Below are 20,820 nucleotides of genomic sequence, written 5' to 3'. Positions count from 1 at the left end.
GTGAACTTGGGAGGCAGAGCTTGCAGTGAGCCGAGATCGCGCCACTGCACTCCAGCCTGGGTGACGGAGCAAGACTCTGTCTAAAAAAAAAGAAAAGAAAGTAACGCCACAGATGGGGGTGACTGTATGGTAATTACCAAAATGTGTAGGAGAAAAACATACTCACTTTAACCCTGACATATTGATTTCACCAAGACTATCTTTATCTTAAATGACAGCTTAAAATAATGTGTTTGAAAAACAATTACACTATTCATATTAATACAAAGATACTAAATGGCGAATTCTTGGCCGTTTTCATTTACCACAGAAAGAAAAGGGGGCAAATATAGTTGGAAAAAGATTAAACTCTGTAGCTTCATAAGGTCCTTCAATGTAAAGATGAATAGCTTCAACATGAAGTGAAAAGCATCTGCCACAATCTTCTAAAATTACTGGGAATATAATTTACCAGCAGCCTTGGTGCTGAGACATAACACACTCTCTCTCCATTGTTACCCATTGCCCTGAATATGTGGTCAGTGACTATCAACGCGTTGCGAGTGGAGGAAGGCAGGATCAGAGATATCGCTGCCCAAAAAAGCAACAATAGCAAACAGCAGCAGCAACACAGAATGATGGAGCCTCCTGCCACACTCTTCAAAGCGCTGCAGCCAGGAGGACACAGAGAAGAAGGTGGTGTGGGCCTGCAAAGGACAGACTCTGAATCAGTGCGACCCACCCCGCGTGTCCCTCCAACCCAAATAGCGGATCCCTCTCCCCACCCTACGCTGCCAGTCTCGAGTGAGGCTCATTGAGAAGGGAAGTTGTAAGTTGGAGGGAAAAAGTTTTAAGAGAGCCCATGAGTGCAGAAGTCCCGCCTCCCACCAAGGATCTCAGCAGATGCAGGAAAGTCACAGGCAGGAGGTCTTCAGGTGTCTTCCCTATGGGCAGGAAGGAAAGGGGATGTGACTATAACCAAATTCCTGCTCCCACCAGCCCTCCAACTACCAGCCCTAACAGCCAAATCCATGGACATTTTATCTGTCCTGACTGGAGGTTGAAGGGTGTAAGGAGAGAGGTTGGGAAATTTCACCGGGAGTACGCGGCTAACTGAGAAAGCTGAATAAGAGTTCACTCACCCCAAAGACCCAGAATTTCATGAATTAGAGCAATAAATAATGATATAGATCTCCTTCCAGGGTAATGCCTAAGATGTATTGGAGCACCAACAGACCAACATCAACAGCAACAAAGTAAAGACAAAAACGCCCAGGCTGTCCATCCTAGGGGCTGGCCTTCCTCTCAGAACCCCAGGCCAGGAAAGCAGGAAGAAGGGGGAGCACAGAGTCTGAAAGGGGCTGAGACCTGCTTTTTCAGAGGAATTTAAAGATCCACATGGAGCTGCCCAAATTAAGCAAAAGTAAGAGTGAAATAAATGGCAAGGCATTCCTGCAAATGCACTGCAGGGGAACAGTGAACACAGGGTGGACCATGGTCTGTAAAGAAAGACAAAGATTTCATTCTGCAGCAAAATATATAACTGAATCCATGCAAGAAAGTTCTCCAAAATGTTGTGTAAGAAGTTAGTAAGAAATCGATTTCAATAAAAAAGAGCTAAAAGATAGAAAAGCAAAATGAAAGGTAAATTGCAGAGTTTTGGAAACAAATTGAAGAGCAAAAACTCATTTCAGAACGGGAAGAAAAAAAAAAAAACCTACCCGAACTGTAAATAGCAGGAAACAGAATAGACAATGCCAAAAATAACAAAGCTACCATCATAGAGGAAGAATTTCAGATCTCCAAAGGGAATAAGAGGAATAAAACACATCATTGCATATTCAAGCCAAAATGAGGAAAAAGAAGGAAAATTCATTTTGCATAAATAAATATACCATGTATGTGATGGTAGGAAATTAATTTCAGAAAGTAAATGTTATAACTCATGAATTTGTAAAAATAACAAAGATAATTGCACTATGAAAATTAGGTAAAAGGGAAGATTACCACAAAATGAATGAATTGCCCATCCTATTAAACATCTTTCAATTTTCTCTCAATAGTAGTCAACAGATACTCTTCTGAATTGATAAATATTAAAGCATATCACAGAGTGTTGTATAAGGAACCTGCAGAAAACCTAAAAACAAAAAGATAACTAATAATATATTGGGGTTTGAAGTGAGAAGTGGAGAATTAATAGAAACTGTCAGGTTGATAAATCATGAACTATAGGTTGAATTATGTAAAATTATATAGGTAACCACTTAAACACATAAAAGCAATAAATCTTTCATTTTAACAAAAGGATTGCACATAATCAGAAGGAGGGGGAAATAAAAAAATCCAAAAGGGAATGCAAAAGAAATATTAATTACAGATATTGAAAAAAATATTAAACCAAATATATCAGCAATATGTATTAAAAATATAAGTGCAGATCCAAGATAAATAAACCTAAAACAAAGTGCCTCAAAAAGGTTAAACATAAAATTGAGTATAAAATAATAAGAAATACATATTGGTCTGTGTCTCCAGTTTCTGACACAGAGCTCCTAATACCCTTGTAATTTCCTGAGTGATGGGGGTACTGGGAGCATCTTTTGTTCTAATATTGGTTGGGAGCATCTTTGACTGGGTTCCTGGTACAGAGCTTCCAATCCCTTGGAATTTCCTGGGTGATAGGAGCATCTTTTGTTCTAATGAACGACTCTTGGTGGAATCCTAGATGAGGGCTGGTCACCAGAAAGACCAAGCCATGGTTAGAAGCTTGGAACTTTCAGCCCCACACCCCATCCTCTAGGGAGGAAAGAGGAGTTGGAGATTGAATCAATAATCAATCATGCCTACATGATGAAGCCTCCTTAAAAATTCCTAAGTACAGGTGCGGGAGCTTCAGGGTTGGGGAACACGTGGTGGTGCTCCTGGAGAGGCCATGGCAGCTCCATACCCACCCCCACCATATCTTTTCCTGTATTTCTCTCCCATTTGGCTGTATTCTTTATAATAAGTGGATAAACATAGTAGTGTTGCCCTGGGTTCTCTGCGCTGTTCCACCAAATGACTGGACCTAAGAAGGGGGGCGTGGGAACCTCCGATTTATAGCCAAGTTGGACAGAAGCTGTGGGTGACCTGCAGACCCACCACTTACAACTGGCATCTGGAGCAGGGCAGTCCTGGGAATTGAGCCCCTCCCCTGTGGGGCTGGCTCTAACTCCAGTTAGTGTCAGAGTTGAGCTGAACGGTAGGACACCCAGCTGGTGCTGGAGAATGGGTGGGATTTTTCCCCACACATGTGGAGACGGGAGGTGTTGTGTGAGTGTAAGAATGAACGAGAGAGGCATCTCAGCATAAGAAATCAGTGGGGCTGATTTTAAAAGCAGACAAATGTGAATTCAAGGTTAAGTATTGAAAATAGAATGAAAATCCGGTAAATCGTTAAACATCCTGTGGTAAATGGAAGGATGATTGAAAGAGGAATGCTGCTGACAGGGAGCGTGGCCCCAGCCAGGCCAGTGAGCAAAGCCAGGGGTGGAACTCCCACAGACCCGCCCAGGTCATTCTCAGAGAGGGACCCATTCACAGGCACTGATCATACAAACCCCTCAGAAACACCTCAGCACATTATAAATATTAGAAATAGAACAAAAGGCATTTTGCTTAAAGCATAAGGTAATGTAACTAGAAATTAATTTTTAAGTTAAAAAATGTGGAAATTTTAAAACACTCAACAAAGCTCAGTTCGGGCTGGTCTGAGTGCAGTGGGGTGTACAAGGAATTGATTACAAGCAGTTACAGGTTTCTTTGCTCCTTTTCCATTTCCACTGCTGCTTCACTTCACTAGCCTTTATTTAAAAAGTCAGCTTGAAGAAGGTACAACAATTCAACTTATAGAATATCCAGAAAATACAAATGAAAACATTGCATATTAAGACGTATGGACTGCTGTTAAAGCTTTGATCAGAATAAAATGCAGAGCCAAAAATACTTATCTGATTAAATAAGAATAATTGGAAACACATGAATTAGGCATCTATTGAATAACTTAGAACAACAACAACAAAATAAAAGTAGAAGAGAACTGGCTGGGCGCGGTGGCTCACGCTGGTAGTCCCAGCACTTTGGGAGGCTGAGGCGGGTAGATCAACTGAGGTCAGGAGTTTGAGACCAGCCTGGCCAACATGGTGCAACCTCTACTAAAAATACAAAAAAAAAAAAAAAAAAAAAAAAATTAACCGGGAGTGGTAGTGGGTGCCTGTAATCCCAGCTACTCAGGAGGCTAAGGCAGGAGAATTGCTTGAACTCGGGAGGTGGAGGTTGCAGTGAGCCAAGATGACGCCATTGCACTCCAGCCTGGGCGACAGTGCGAGACTTCCTCTCAAAAAAAAAAAAAAAAAAAAAAAGTAAAAGGATCATGGCTGAATCCTGAGGATATCTTATTTCATGTAATGTGAAATAAGTCAGTCACAAAAGGACAAATACTATATGAATCCACTTGTATCAGGTACCTAGCCAAATTTATAAAGACCAAAAGGAGGCCAGGTGTGGTGGCTCACGCCTGTAATTCCAGCACTTTGGGAGGAGGAGGCAGGCAGATCACTTGAGGCCAGGAGTTCGAGACCAGCCTGGCCAACATGGTGAAACCCCATCTCTACTAAAAATATAAAAAATTAGCTGGGATTGGTGGTGTGCTCTGGTAATCCCAGCAACTCTGGAGGCCGAGGCATGAGAATCGCTTGAACCCAGGAGGCAGAGGTTGCAGTGAGCAGAGATTGCACCACTGCACTCTAGCCTGGGTGATAAAATGAGACTCTGTCTCAAAAAAAGAAAAAAAAAAAAAAAGGACCAAAACAAGAGTGGTTGATGTTTGATAGAGACAGGGTTTCAATTTGGGAAGATGAAAAGAGTTCTGGGAATATGTGGTTGTGAAGACTGTACAACAATGTGACTGTATTTAATGACACTGAATGGTACACTTAAAACTGGTTAAAATGATAAATTTTATGTTATGTATATTTTACGAAAATTTAAAAATATACAATAATTTTTAAAAAGTAAAATAGAATGAAAATATTAAAGATAAAAGCAGAAAACTAAAAATTAGAAAACATACCTGCAGAATTTGTTGATGGGAAGTATTTATCAAAGGTGAACACACAGAACTCTAACACAGCAGCAGAGGAAATGGTAGGAAGGCCATTGGCAGAAAAAAAGGAAATTTAGAAAGCAGTGCAAAATGTTACACGTGACGGTGGAGAGAAGACAAGAAAGAGTGTGGAACTGCAGCGCTGCAGAAAGGTGGCATTCCCGAAGCGGGCTGTGTGCAAACACAGGGGGCGTCTCGTCACAAAGAGTTTGAGAAAGATAGAATCTGTGGGCCGCATCCCCAGGGGCCATAACTTTGAGACCCCTTCCCCAACTCAGGACAAGCTATGGCATTAGAAGGTCAAACGCATATGAAGTAAACAGTAATTACAAAAGGAGCTATCCATGGTGAGGTCAGAAACACTGATAGACGGAAGGTCTAGGGAGGTTGGGAAGGGTTTGTACCACATAAAAAATGAAGGAATGAGAAAAAGTTAAATTATGTAAGAGTTCCTTCCTGAGGCGTACACCTCCAGGGGGCTCTGCTTAAAGCTTCTGTCAGTCTTTTCTCCAACTCACTGGGGTCCCCGTGAGTGCAATGACCAGCTACATCTAACCCACCATGCTGCCCCGACTAGTTTGTCCCACAGGCTCCCAGGGCCCAGAGGAAGGGCTGAACCGTGTGTTGGGCCCAGCACTGGCTGGAGAAGCACCTGCAACAACTGTGGCTTCTGCTGTGCTGGCCCACTGCTGTCACCTGGGAGGGCTGGGTCAACGCAGGGACCCCCAAGACCCTGCAGACAGGTCCTCGGACTGCAAAGTCTAAGGGTCCGATGTCTTAAAAATATAAACCGGTAAAACTCATGGCAAGCTAAATCAATAGGCACGGGAGAAAGGAGAAATGCACACAATTACAAACGGAAAAAGGAGAAAAAGCCACAAATACAGAGGAAAGAAAACACCTGAAGTGCATATATTACAAAACTACGCAACTATGTTGAAAAGTGGATGGAATTAATTTTATTTTTAAAAGTGTCATTAAAATGGACTCTAGAAGGGCTCGAGGACCTAACTTGCCTGATGAGCAAAATCCAGAAATATACCACGGCAGGCCCAGACAGCCCCAGCTAGTTCTTCTACACTTAAGCAGAAAATAATCCAAAACCAATAGATGATTGTAGAATATAGAGGTTTTTGTTTTATAATATTTCTTCCTTTAAGTCAGCATAAAGTTAAATCTGGACAAAAAACACATAAAAGCAAGATGTAGAATGATGAATCTTAATTATAAATATTGATAACCAAAGTCATGATACTAATAAGTAAAGAACATCTCAGGAATACACTAATGATTTGGTCTTAAGTATTCTATTAATATAATTAAACATACTACTAGAGCAAAGGAAAAGACCTTCTGATAATCCCTCTGGACACTGAGAAGGCTTTGACAAAAATCTAACATCTACATTTTCCCCAGAGAGTCTTAATAGTTTGAGAACACACAGATACTTTTTTATTATGGCAAGGAAAATACATGTCTTCATACAAGTTAAACGCTGAGACATTAAAACGTCCCACTGATGTCACGAACAAGATAAGCATGCCACCTGAATCACTGTGACTCAACACTGATCTCAAATCAACTAGATACAAGAAAGAAATAAGAGACACATTGGAAAGGAGAAGTCAAAAGTATACCTTAGAAACAAGTAGGAATCACAATTTGTGGTTGATTATAACATTCATACATAAAAACCAACTACTTTCTTATACAATGGGATAAAATAGAAAATAAAGTGGAATAAATCATTCTATTGAAAATGATAGCCAAATGATAAAACATCTAGAAATAAACTATAAATTCAAAGCACCTTAGTGAACAAAATCATAAAACACTACTAAGTTACATAAAATTAGACTTAAACACAAGATTTCATGCTTTTGAATAGGAAGACTCAATCTGTAAATTCATTGTGACTCTAATTGAAAAAAGATTCATATGAGAGAGAGATTCAGAGTTGATGGGAGTGTTGACTTGAAAATACTGATATTAGTATGAATAATGCTTTAGAAATGAAAGGCATTCATAGAGATAAATAGAACAGAAACAGAACCAAACACTTAAAGAAATTTAGTTTACAAATAAGGCTGCATTTTGAACAACTGGGGAAAACACTATGACTGTATTTTAGAAATGCATTATTACATATTTATTGATACTGCTGACCACCATTTCGAGGAAAAAGTATGGATTTTTCCCTCATGTCCTGCAACAAATGAATTCCAGGGAGTCTGAAGATGTGAAGGTAAACCAATAAAACCATAAAGTTTCAGAAGAAAATGCGAGTAAGTCTATTTATAATCTCAGAATGAGGAAGGCTTTTAAAAACTGGAAACAAATCCCACGATCGACAAAGAAAAATACTCACAAATTGACAACATAAAAATTTAAACTCTATGCCAATAAATAAGGAAATCAATAAATAACATCGAAAGACAAATGATAAAAATATTTTAAAGACATAAGACAAAAATGTCCCAAAGTGCATGAGCAAATTAAGAAAAAGCCAAATAACCCAATTAGGAACTGGGTAAAATATATAAATGTATCAAAATTAAAACTACAAAAAAATTTTAAAAGATGTCCCATTTTATACACAAAATAAACCAAAATCAGAATAATATTCGTAAATATCATGTTTCACCAATTATATTGGGAAAAACATTAAGTTTGAAAATACCCAGTGCTATTATAGAAAGCTGAGAAATTGGGCCTTTTATTGTACTCTTGATGGAGTTACATCCTTCGATCAGTTTCTAGAAGATAATCTGGCAATAGCTATCAAAATTTTAAATACATGTAGCCTTAAACCCAGCAATTCCATTTCTAAGTTGGAATTTATACCGTTTTAGTCACAAAACTATGTCAAGATGTATGTACAAGTATGCCAATTATAGATTTGTATATAAAAATAAAAACTGGAAGTATCCATATGTTCACCAATAAAAGGCTATTCAAATAAATGATAGTCCGCTGAGATAATGGAATGCTAAGCAGCTACTAGGAGGAATGAGGTAGATCTTTATATGTTATTATGGGACGACCTCTAAGACAAAACACCACATGAAGAATGCAAGGTGCAGCGCCCTTCACAGAGCGTTAGTGCTGGAAAGGGAAGGTCTCTCTCCATAACCCCCGTCCCTCCTTCTTTGGCCTCTTATCTTCTTTTCTTCCTTTCTAGAAATGCCCTTAGAAGCTCATTAGTGGTCCCCTCTGAGAGAGAAAACAGGCAGTATGGGAGACTGTTGTTTTTAACCACTCATACTTTTCTAACTATGTGCACATCTATTCCTTATTATTACTTTATTAAAGGACAGAGAAGTTATTTGAGAGTCCAAAATATGCACAACTTGTTTGCATTTTGTGTTCCTGTATAAAATACAAAACCAAAAAGGTTTCTTTTTAAAGCAAAAATGTGGGAGGGATCAATTTTGGGATAATGATAAGAAATGAAGCATTCCTTTTATATATCAAAACACTTCTACTTGTTTCTAAAGACACTGTAACAGAAAAAAAAAAAAAAACCGAAAATCTTGTGCATGGTTCATCCATAGCATGTGGAAGGAATGCCTGCTGAGGAATGATCCTGCTCCAAGCCGCCTGAGGCTGGAATGTCCTGATCCACCAACTTTCTCGTAAGTGAGGTCTCTTGTCACACACAAGGTACCTCACACTTACACACACACACACACCGCACACACGCAAGCTTCCATCTTCCTCCAGTGCAAACAAAGTCATGTGCATTACCCAGAAATGAGTGAGCCAGATGGCTGGAAAAGCACATACAATTTATTTAACTCTGAAAATCAAATCTTCCCTCATGATGTTCCCACCTCAGGGATTAGAAGCAAATTAAAAATCTCTAGGGGCTCAGAAGCCTTCTATAATTTTGAGCTCTGAGCAGTTGTTGGATGACACAATGGAACAGGAGAGGTCTTTCTTGGTGAATTACCCTCTGATCTCATTAAAGAATAAGAATGAGACCATCCTGGCTAACATGATGAAACCCTATCTCTACTAAAAATACAAAAAATTAGCCAGGCATGGTGGCGGGCGCCTGTATTCCCAGTTACTCGGGGGGAGGCTGAGGCAGGAGAATGGCATGAACCCAGGAGGTGGAGCTTGCAGTGAGCTGAGATCATGCCACTGCACTCCAGCCTGGGCGATAATCTAAGGGAAGAGCTGTATCATCACTTAGGTTTAAAAATTAAAGTTTCTCTTGTTTTAAGTTGCCCATCTCCAGTGAATCCACCCAAGGACTTTGAGCCAGCTTTTGGGGCTGCAGCTGGGGTGGACTGGCTTGGAGCAGGCAGACTCCCAAAGGCCAGAACTCAGAATTGCTGGCTTGTCAGTCACTGAGGGTCGGCCAGCTCCTCCCTGCTGCCTGCCACTGGCCAGGTATCCAGAGAAGGGATGGGCCACACCATCCCCTCCCTGGCGCCTGCCATACTGGGGACCAGAAGAGTTCCCAGCCTCTACTTCCTGGCCCTGACACAGGCAGAAAGGGCCTAGGAATATGTTCACTTTATGTTGTGCATTTGTATGGATGCACACATTTCTAAGACTAATTAACTCCAGTGCATGTGAATCAGCTAACACATTATTTTTTTAAAGCCCACGTAAGTGGCTTCACTTAGCTGTAGCTATTCTTTTGGGCTGTTAATTCTAGTAGAACTCTTATTTGTCCTGTGGGTTCTGCAGAATAGAACAGATTTGCTCAACTCCTCAGTGTCTGAGAGCAGCACCTAGGAGTTATCTGGGATCCACCAAAGACACTCCGCGGGGCCTGGCCCTTGTTCAGAATAAACAGAAACCTGCGTCCCTTTGATCTCCTTGACAGGGTAGGTTTGCAGAAGTCAGGCAGGCTGGTAAAAACATCCTTAGTAAGACCAACAGTCTGTCTTTTTTTTTTTTTTTTAATGTAGAAACAGCATCAAGCTGTTTCTCTCTACCGTCTTTGATAGAAATAAAAATAAAAATAAAAAGTTGAATTGCAGAAAAGCTAAGAGGTTTTTAGTTTTTGTTTTTTGTTTTCCTTCCACCAGTCAATTATTGGAAAGGATTTAGTGAGTCTGGTTTATTTTAGCTTCAATCTGGGTTTGTACACAAGCAAAAAGCAAATGTTGAATTTTCAGGTAGACCTTCATGCAGACATGCAAAACCAACTGTCTCGGTGGTGAGGAGCCATGGGGAGCTCTCCGAAGGGCTTTCCAGGCAGTGGGCTAATGGGCAAAATGACTACTCAGTGGCCCTGCTGACCGATGGTACGGATGTGCCAAGGATATCTATCAGCCCATCTGAGAATATGAAACAAAGTGCTGAGATTCTACTACCTAAAGTAACAAAGAAACCGTAAGCAACACGACTGACAGCCAGAAGGGAACACTGGAGTTGTGGCGTGTAATGCTGTCCTGGATTAGCACCCCCAAATCTCGCCAAGCCAAAGGCCTTGCCCATCTGTGAGTTTTCCACATGTACAGAACCAGGCGTGGTTACGCAAAGTCTTTGGACACGGCCTCCACGAAGTTGGGAGCCGACATCAGGATGCCGATGGTGCAGATGATGGTGAAGACCGAGAAGGCCATGAGGCACAGGCGGTCCACCACACAGGCGGCGAACTTCCACTCGCTGCAGACCGCCTCGCTTTCGTCCTGGCAGCGGAAGCGGTTGGCAATGTAGCGGACCTCCTCCAGGATCTTGGCCAAGTCCGGGTCCCCCTCGGGGGGTTGCCCGCCGTGCAGGAGGTGCTCATCGTGCGTGGGGGAGCAGGCCATGCGGCCACACACTACCCCAGAGTCGGGGGTCGGGACACAGTGCACGCCGTCCAGGCCGCGGAAGCCGATGTACAGCAGGTTCCCGTTGCTGGCGGGCGGCGGCGCCACGGCGCTCATCTCCACACTGGCCAGGCTGCAGCGCCGCTGCTTGTGCTGGCAGGCCGGGCGCACCTTGTCCTCCCCGGGCCTCTTCATTCGCAGGAACCACGCGCACCAGTTCAGAAGGATGACTCTGGTCTGGGGAGACAACAGAACGTTAAGAGCAGCCCTGAGGCGGACACGGGCTGATCCCAACAGCAGTAAGATCCTACAATACAAGCCCTGCTTCATTGGTCCTGGGGGTAGCAGCCTCCACTGCCTCCCAGATGATTTTAGCAGGCAAGCAGTGCTTGCGTATGACAAGCAGTCGAGTTCAACGTGAGGCAAGACTAAAACTGATGCACCCTGGGAACAAGCTAAATTGTTCTCCGGGGCAGGCACACTGCAATCTCAGGGAGGACAGCTTCGTGGAAGGGGAAGGCTATCTGAGCTGTGTAAAGAGGGAAAGTCAATTTCCCTCTCTGATCCTTCCTCATCTGTAACCCGGGGACCTTCAGATCTAACTCTGGCTCCCACACTACCTGTTAGGTGCCCTGGAAGGCCACTGCAAATTCGCAAAGAGTGCCTGGGGGAGGTTGTACATTTTCAAATGCAATCCCAGGATATCCATGAGACACCAGGTAAACTTGAAGCTTGAAGCACTTCAGGCTTCCAACATCAGATTACCACATCTCTTGTGATGACGTGACCACTTTGCAAAGCTGTTTTTCAAAGTACCCTGATAAAAAGCAAACACCAAGGAACTTCATGTGAAACAGAAACTAGGTTAGTGGTCTCCAATCTGATCCCAAGATTTGAGAGGCGGTGCCGTGCCCCATAGGTGCTACATTGTTAAGGCATAAATACTTATTAAAGTGTTTTGATCTATTTAAAAAGAGAGCCTTGGGTATTATTTCTTTTGGCCAGGGGCTCTGTGAAAAATTTCCTGAGATACTAACGTGCTGTGAACCAAGGCAGTTTCGGAACCTCTAACCTAACTCAGTAGGCTTCAATGAAGACCGAATAAGATGATGTCTGGGAGAGTACTTTGAAAAGTTGAAGGCAGAAGTTGGCAAACTTTCTGTAAAGGGCCAGGCAACTACTCACTTCTGCTGATGTAGCACACATTGAAGGCGTCAAATGGATGGGCATGTTTTCTAAAATAACTTATTTACAAAAACACTTGGTGGACTGGATTTGGCCACCTAGGCCATAATTTGCTAACTTCTGGTCTAAAGTGTGTCCTAGAGTGCATGAAAGAAGCTGGAGAAAAATCACCATGGAGTTTATCCTGGTTTTGCCTCTCATGGAAAGAAGAGAGACAACTGAAGCCTCAATCCAGGTAAAGAAGCATTCTTGCAAGCCCATCCATGTAAAGTGTATGAAAAGTGGGCCTTTTCCCTGAAATTATCCAGATCCTGATTTCATTTACATTTTGTTTTATGATTTTGGGGAAATTCCATCAGTAACCTAACAGGTTTATTTCCTATCTTTAGGAAATAAATATACAGATAGTAAATTGTGCAGTTCGTATCTGCAGAGCTTTCATTCTTGGTCATCTTTTTATAACATCTTATCAAAGATAACTGCAACAAACAGGTCTGGGGACAAGAACAGGGAAGCACAAGACCAGTTTCATTGCAGCTATAAAAATAACCCTTTGTTTCCCATTGTACTTTACAAGCAGGCGGCACTCTGCGTGTCCTGGAAAGGTTGGGTCTGCTGACCTTGGAGGGTTTTTTATGATCAGTAAGGAGCAGGGACATATGGCCCCAGGTGAAACCTTGGGTGAGTTGGGCCGTCCATACAAGGCTCATGAGACAAGTCATCTCACTTGGGCCTTTCAGGGTCCGGTGAAATGAGTATAATCCCCTCACTTTACAGACCAACAAACTGAGGTTCAAAGAGGCTAATAAACTGGCCCAACGATGTACAATGAGTAAGTAAGTGGTTATGTCACTTCACATGTTTAGCCTTTCCCAGTCTCATCTGTCAAAGGGTCTGTAAGATTCTCTTCAAAACTCGCACAACCCCACCCCTCTGGGAAGGCACCAGAAAGCCTGAGCCAGCTCTCCTGGGAGGCTGCAGGGCAGTGAGTGTGCCTGCATCCAGTGGCAGCAGTGCACACAGGGAGCGAGCAGCACCAGGCACTTCTCCCTCCATGGCAGGGTCTACACGTCCCCCAGTGCACATCTCAAGCTCATACGATACACTCTGCCAAGTCCATTTTGAATTCCATGGCCTGAATCATTAACTTTCAAAGCCAAAGCATTTAAAAGATAAAATTATCCTCTTGGCACTCCTCAAACTGTGCTCTTGACCTCTTCTGTTAGGCTACAGTTTTGTTTCTGGCTGTGCAAATGTCACATAATGCCACTGCACCCGGCAGTATCTTCTTCATAGCAACAGATCATAATAAAAGTCCCTCGGAGGCTGTTTGTGTTTCACATACACATGGAATGAAAGAAAAATGCAGTGTGCTATATAAAGCGAGAGAAATGCATAAGCTTCATCTTTCATTTGCAGCCAATTGGTTTTAATAAGCTTTTATGCTGAGAGGTGAATAATTAGCATATGTTCTTAATTAAGATTGTTCTAGAGCAGTAGAGTGCTCCAGGTCGTTAAAAATGGTTTTGTGTCTCAATGTCTTAATTCTCTTATCTTCTCATCAGTCAAAATACTTACAAGAAATGAGAATGTTTAGATTTTTGTATTTGCATAAATAAATACTAGAAGGAAAAATAAGGAATTCATTAAAACGGTTATCAGTATTGACGGTAGATGCAGGGTAAAGGGGAAGGAATGGGAGCAGGATTTCCTTATGTATAATTTTAATTTTATTTTGACTTTAGAAACAGGTAAATGTATTACCTGCTTCAAACTGATGGATGGACAGACAGAAAGAGCAGCAAACCAACAAGCCTCCAGCTCTCAGGCCTCTCACCTCTGGCCTTGCATTTTCTTAAGTGTGGGTCAGCGTTATAAGGAAATCAGACAAAAATACAGGTGAATGTGTGCAAATGTACCCCAGTGTTTTAAGGGGGGGCCTTCACAAAACAAGCCTCAGGGAATGTAGTGATGTGGTCTGTGTGTGAGACATCACCATGTAGGCTGAGCTCACATTACTGCTTGTGTAATGAGCTACAAGTCAGTCTTTTTTTTTTTTTTTTTTTTTTTTTTTTTTTAGGAGATGGAGTTTTGCTCTGTCACCCAGGCTGGAGGGCAATGACACCACCATAGCTCACTGGAGCCTGGAGCTCCTGGGCTCACATGATCCTCCCACCTCAGCCTCCCAGGTAGCTGGGACTACAGCCACACACCACTGTGGTGGGCTCACAGGTAAGTCTTTACTAAATAGTGTATAAGGGGAATGGGCCATGTGGGTGAAACTCTGAGAAGAAACAGTAATTTTGTAAAGCATTTCTTAAGAAGCAGTCTTTGCTAAGTGAGCATTCAGGTAACAACTCCACAATGACTGTTTCAGGAGGCCCAGCAATCCCCTATTCCTGGAGGGTGCCTGACAGCATCTCACCCCCTACAGCTGCATTTAGCTTGTTGGTGATTCCTAGATTCCCTTCTGAACTGGGACACAAGTGCTCTCCAAAGACAGACAACTTTTGGAATGTGAGGGCCTTTTTAGCTCCCCAAATCCTTAGGCCAGGCTCTCTAGACAGGAGGACGGGGAAGCTTTACAAAGCTCACATGAAGAGGGGAAGAAGCTCAGGCCCTCCCTAGGCCCTCATCAAGGTTTCCTGACTGCCAGGCAAGGGTGGATGCAGAGCTCTGGACACCGTGCAGGAGAGGATCCCTGGGTGGGTGAGCATCCGCAGATGTGGCCGGGCACGGTGCCAGCAGCTGGGGCAGGAGTGGTATGGCCCAGGCTAAGCTGACAGGCTGTGGGATGCCATCCTTTCTGTTTTCATCCGTTTCCTTTTATCCCTTCCCCCTTCTGCACTGGTGACAATTAGTCTTTGTTTCATAGACTTCTGGTTGGATGATATCCCTAGATGTACTGAACGTACATATTTGTACACAGCTCATTCCGTTTCTTACTCTTTGCTCCTCATTCTGTTGTGAAGCCTCAACCATGTTGCTACGCATCTGTCTCATCTGTTGCTTCCAACTGCAGCACAGTGCTTCACGGCATGCATCAAAAAACAAACTAGCTTCTCAAAACACCGTGCTGATTGATAGAACACACAGGGCAGCCAGTTTGAGAGCCTTACTCTACTCTGCAGTTAGATTAGACAGCAGTGCCACGGGGCATCCGGGAACACGTGCACCATGACTGCACACTACACAAAGACACGTCAATAGGTGACGAAATACAGAAACAAAGCTATTTCTGGCTGGGAACAATGGCTCACACCTGTAATCCCAGCACTTTGGGAGGCTGAGGTGGGCAGATCACGAGGTCAGGAGTTCGACATCAGCCTGGCCAACATAGTGAAACCCCATCTCTACTAAAAATACAAAAAAAAATTGGCCAGGTGTGGTGGCAGGCACCTGTAGTCCCAGCTACTTAGGAGGCTGAGGCAGGAGAATTGCTTGAATCCAGGAGGTGGAGGTTGCAGTGAGCCAAGATTACACCACTGCACTCCAGCCTGGGTGACATAGTGAGACTCCGTCTCAAAAAAACAAACAAAAAACCCAAAGCTATTTCTTTAGGAATGCCCATTTTTTGTGTGATTTTAAAAATAAACCCTAGGAGGAGCCTCCTTTACAGGGGGGCTCCGACTCCATCGGGGGTGGGAGGAACGTACCCACTTGGGCATCTTGCCCCCGTCGGGGTCGTGGTGGTGGTACTGCAGCACGATCACTGTCACCACCACCGAGAGGCCCACGATGATCATGGTGCTGGCGAAGTACTGGGCTGTGGAGAGAACAGATGCAGGGTGAGACCCGGGGATCCTGTGGCACTGCACGTCACAGGACAGGCACACCCTGATCAGGTTCTCTGACCGTCAGGGCCTCAGGGTGCAGTGATGCCCATGTGTCCAGGCCTGCAGCCCACATTCTGGGTGGGCAAAACCAGCCAGTGTGGTCTGACTTCCCGCCCACGGAGTGACCTTCCCTCACTTCATTGCACTTCCATGCACTCTGGCCGACTTGTCAGTCAATAAGAGCTAGCATCGCCTGGCAGGATGGTGATAAGCTTGTTCCTGTGGGTAAATACTGGATGTGAGGGCATGGGAACCATCCAGTGTTCATGATGCAGGCCTCTACTGTGCTCCAGGGGCACAATGAGGGCAAACCTGCACACCACCTGGCTGCCAGCTGTCCAGCCTGAGGAAGGGGTCAGTGGCAGGGACTTTTCAGGACGAGAACTTCAGTCTCAGCTTTGGTTCTAATGGGTCATGGGTGTCCTTCCACCTGGGCCCAGGTGAGGGGCAGCATGGAGCATCTGAGTGCTTCCATCCTGGTCCACTAGCTACTGGCTGTGAGTTTGGAGTGGATGCTCAGCCTCTTCGGGCCTCAGCTCTCCAATGGGGGTGGTACAAAGGATGACGTTTGTGTCCCCACGAAGTTCATGGGTTAAAACCCTAGTCCTAACTGGGATGGTATCTGGAGGTGGGGCTTTGGGAGGTATGAGATTGTGATTTATAATAAGAAATATGTATTTAGTCTTCCTCCCATTTCCTGGCACACAGCTCCTAAAACCTTTGAATCTCTGAAGTCATCAGTGTCTTTTTATATGCTAATGAAATGATTTATGGCTGAGGTTCCTGGATACCCTCAGGATGGGGTTTGGTTGCCAGGGGAACCAGCCAAGTAATTAGAGAGTTGGAACCTTCAAGCTCTGTCCCCTCTCCCAACCCTTGACCCCTGGGGAGGAAAGAGGTACTGACGGTTGAGTGGATCGCCAGTGGCCAATGATGTAATCAATCATGCCTATGTAGTGAAGCCTCCATAAAAACCCAAAAGGATGGAGTTCTGTGGAGACCTTCCCAGTGCTGAACACGGGGAGGTGTTTGGAGGGCAGAGAGGGCATGGCAGTTCCATGCCCCTTCCCAAATACCTTGCCCTATGCATTTCTTTCATCTGACTATTCATCTGTGCTTTATAATTAATGAATAAATATCAGTAAAATGTTTCCCTGAGTTTACTAGAGTGAGTCACTCTAGTAAATGGCTGAACTCAAAGATGTGCTTTTGGGAACTCCCCGATTTATAGACACTTGGTCAGAAGCATGGGAAGCCGGAACTTCTAACTGGCATCTCAAGTAGAAATGGTCTTGTGAGCCTTAATCTGTGAGTGCTGTGCTAACTCCAGGTGGTGTCAGGACTGAAGTGAACTCACTGTAGGACGCCCAGCTGGTTTCCAAGAATTGGTCGATGTGGGAGAAACGCCCCGCTTTGGTGTCAGAAGTGTTGTGTAAGTAGAGAAATGGTGAGTGATTTTCTCAGGGGCCTTCAACAGGTCCTGAGGGTGCAGCCCTCATGAATGGGATTAGAGTCCTTCATAAAAAGAGGCTAAAGAGCTAATTCACTCTCTTTTTGCCACGTGAGGCCACAGCGAGAAGAGGGCCAGCTGTAAACCAGGGAGTGGCCCCTCACCAGAGCCCTGCTGCCACCCTTATCGAGGACGTGCAGCCTTGCAGAACTCTGAGAAATAAATGTCTGTTGCTTAGGCCCCCAGACTACAGCAATTTGTTACGGTAGCCTCCATTAAAATAGGAACTTCTTCCTTGCAGGATTTGTGCAATGATGAGCAATTACACAGGCCAAGATGTCTAGGAGAAAGGAGGGGGCATTCTTTAGTGGGCAGCTCTAATTATTAAACCTTTGGTGTGGCTGTCCACTCAAGGGGCTGAACTCTAAGCGGAAAGCATCAGGGTACAGGGCGCTAAGCATTCAGCTAGCCCTCACAGGCCCTCACGCCAGGAAGGAACTCACTGCCTTCCTACAAAGACCAAGAGGTACCTGGGAGGAGCTCTGCCAGAGCTGGAAGTTTGAGACCTAAAGTTAGCATCAGGGCCCCTGAGAAAAGGAAGGAGACTGGAGCAAACCGTGACCCTTATGAGCTGAATTATGCTTCCCCCTAGAATTCATATGTTGAAGCCCCAACCCCTAGTACCCTAGAATGTGACTGTACTTGGAGATAGGGTCTTTAAGGAGGTAATTAAGTACAATTAGGTCATCAGGGTAAGCCCTAATCCAATCTGACTGGTGTTCTTTTAATGAAGAAGAGAAAATTTGGACACACAGAGAGACACCAGGGATGCAGGTGCACAGAGGAACTACCAGGGGAGGACAAAGCATTGTGAAAGTGGTTGTCTGCAAGCCAGGGGGAGAGGTCTCAGGTTAAACCATCCCTAATGGCCCCTTGGTCTTGGACTTTCAGCAGTGCAACTGTGAGAAAATAAATTTCTGTTAGTTATTTAAGCCCCTAAGTCCATAGTATTTTGTCACGGCAGCCTGAGCAGACCAACCACCTCTGGAGAGATGGGGGTCAAAGGATTGCCCAGACTGAATTTCCATCAACAGAGGGCAGCAAAGCTGATGTCCCTGGGGCCATCAACATCCCATCCTTCGAGATGTGGGCTATGCACCAACCAAGCCTTTCCCAGCGGGTCATCAGTCCAGAGAGAGAAGGCCTGACAACTGCCCCCGGAAGGGAGGCTGCAAATCTCTACTGAAAGCAGTGTGCTGGAAGGTAGAAAGAATGGAGTCAGAATCAGGTGGAAAGGTGGTTCTTCCCTGTCTGGATGGTACCAAGAGAAAAATGATACCCACAAAGGCTTTTCATACCAACAGTTTCTCTGGCCAAAATACTGCACATACAGGGAGTTCCACAAAGAAGGGCCTTTGCTGCTTGGTTCCTAAAGCCTGGGGGTATCCAGGTAGGGCTCTCCCTCTAGCCCACCCCCAGGTAGACACAGCATAGGTCCTCAAACAGCAGGGGCCAGCAGGTGTAATGACAGTCTGTATACCTCCTTCCAACCTTCCCTGCCCAGTGGGAGTGGAGACTTGTTTTTGTTGTCCCTCCCTGGGTAGAGGATCATGCCTTATACCTGTGCAAAATATATTTTTCTCATTCATATTTCCCTAGAAACTTTTATACAGAGACATTGAGTTATCTCAGGACACAGTAACTGTGTGCTTCTCCCATTTTAACAAAGGCTTTGTGGGAAAACAACATCTTAAGCTAAAATGATGCATCTCTAACGATGAAATATCTGGCTTCAAAGCAAGCATGAGGAGGAGAATTATGAGGGGAAGGGGGGCATTTCTGTGAGATAAAAGTCAAACCTCAAAGCTGAATATCCCCTTCCCCTTACTTGGGCCTGGGTGACTCTGAATAGTTACAGCAAATCATCACCTTCCAGAGAAAATGGGGGCAGTGCAGCCCTATTTCTTCTAGTTTCATCTGCTGGGAAATCCTGGGCACACTCTAACCCTAACCCCATATCTCTAAGAGAGGAGCCCAACTCTTGCCTTACCTATCAATGGTACCGAATCGGATGTTGCGGGCATGATCTCAGCCACGAGCAGCATGAAGACGGTAAGAGAGAGTAAGACTGTTATCCCTAAAACATAAACACACAGCGGTTCCTCAGACAAAAACAGACAAGAAGGCCTCAATTCTGTCTAACGAGGGCTCCTAACCTGACACTCAAAAGAAAGGGAGGCGCTGGGGGGAATGTCGTGGAATGCACGTTTTCCCTATGTATGGGCGTGTGCATTTTCCAGGGGACATTCCATGCCACTTACCAGAGTCCCAAAGGAGTCTCTTATGGAGACAAGTTTAGGACCCAGAATTTTAAAAGCATCAACACAAACTGAAAAATTTAACTTGGCACAATTATCTCTCATATTCTCTGTAAAATATTATTGAGAAGTAGTTTCACGTAGCAGGAAAAAGAAAATATGCAGTCAGGAGACCTGATTTCAGGTCTTACGTTTGCTACTCAACTAGCTATGTGACCTTAGATACAACATTCAACCTTTCTGAACCTCATACTCAGAAGATATGGGTTTGGGAATGATTTCTACCATATGCTACATCTGATGTTTAGCAACTCTTTAAGACATTGGGAAACTCATTCCACCATTCAAAATCTTGGTTTCCTTAGCTTCGTATGGGAGTGATCGTAAGAATTACACTGGGTACTGTAACATACAAATGCAAGCTGATACTAAGCTAAATTGTTCCCTCGATGACCAGTCGCCATTGAGGAACAGGTGGGGTGGCAGGAGGGAAGAAAGCACAGGCCTCTCAAGGCAGAATGGAGCTGGCCCCCTCCCTGTGCATCCCCCATCCTCTGAGGGTCCTCCAGTATTCTCAGGATTACACAGCCGTCCAGCACGGAGCCCGAATCAGGGACCTCTGGTGTCCTGGAGCCACCGTGGGCTCGGAGGTCCATGGGATGAGCCAGGGAATCCCCAGGAACCCTGATGGAGTCCTGCGCTGTCTGCTGTGAGCCCTCCAGAGCTGATCTCAGCAGAAGGTCTCCAGTCTCAGACTCCCGCCAGACACTGGGGCGCTTACCCAGGGAAATCTTCTCCCCGGAATCTGCAGGAAGCAGGAACACCAGCAGGGCGAGGGCGGAGATGAGCACACAGGGGATCAGCAGGTTGAGGCCATAGTAGAGCGTCCTGCGGCGCATGGTCACTGTGAAGGTGACATCGGGGTAGGGCTCTTTGCAGCACTCATAGAACCTTTCACTCCTCTTGCCGGGGATTCCTCCATAGGGAGGAGGAGAGAAGGAGCCATTGTTAGAATACAATAAATTACCCTGTTTATTTCAATGTGTATACCACACACAAGCACAGTCCTAAAGTTTGCAAAGTGCTAAAAAAAAAAAAGGGGGGGGTTGTAATTAGCTTGAATAAAACCTTG

At 44.4% G+C, this 20,820-nt stretch overlaps 1 protein-coding gene and 1 long non-coding RNA gene across 19 annotated transcripts in view; one reads left to right on the top strand and one right to left on the bottom strand.

Annotated features, from left to right (window-relative positions):
• The window catches only part of LOC102724078 (uncharacterized), a 187,103-nt gene that overhangs the window by 163,992 nt on the left and 2,291 nt on the right, over positions 1-20,820 (top strand). For 4 of the 11 annotated variants that reach the window (XR_007064568.1, XR_007064563.1, XR_007064564.1 and 1 more), the window contains 4 exons: positions 12,216-12,319; positions 13,830-13,983; positions 14,165-14,316; positions 17,251-17,352. This is a non-coding gene — a long non-coding RNA (uncharacterized LOC102724078). Of the gene's footprint in view, positions 1-12,215; positions 13,984-14,164; positions 14,317-17,250; positions 17,368-20,820 lie in introns of all 11 variants that reach the window. The other 7 variants (XR_007064561.1, XR_007064559.1, XR_007064562.1 and 4 more) reach the window with 4 other exon arrangements.
• CHRNA7 (cholinergic receptor nicotinic alpha 7 subunit) overlaps positions 6,058-20,820 on the bottom strand; it is a 142,536-nt gene continuing 127,773 nt past the window's right edge. For 6 of the 8 annotated variants that reach the window (NM_001190455.3, NM_000746.6, XM_011521176.4 and 3 more), the window contains 4 exons: positions 20,470-20,664; positions 19,421-19,507; positions 15,741-15,850; positions 6,058-11,136 (listed from right to left, as the gene is read on the bottom strand). In NM_001190455.3, coding sequence (NP_001177384.1) covers positions 10,618-11,136; positions 15,741-15,850; positions 19,421-19,507; positions 20,470-20,664 — 911 coding nt within the window. In that variant the 3' untranslated portion in view covers positions 6,058-10,617. The remainder of the gene's footprint in view (positions 11,137-15,740; positions 15,851-19,420; positions 19,508-20,469; positions 20,665-20,820) is intronic. The other 2 variants (NR_046324.1, XM_011521178.4) reach the window with 2 other exon arrangements.

The sequence above is a fragment of the Homo sapiens genome, chromosome 15 (genome assembly GCF_000001405.40).
Source record: "Homo sapiens chromosome 15, GRCh38.p14 Primary Assembly".
Lineage (NCBI taxonomy): Eukaryota > Metazoa > Chordata > Mammalia > Primates > Hominidae > Homo > Homo sapiens.
Note: the sequence above shows the minus strand (reverse complement) of the source record. Positions and strands in the feature narration are given on the sequence as shown.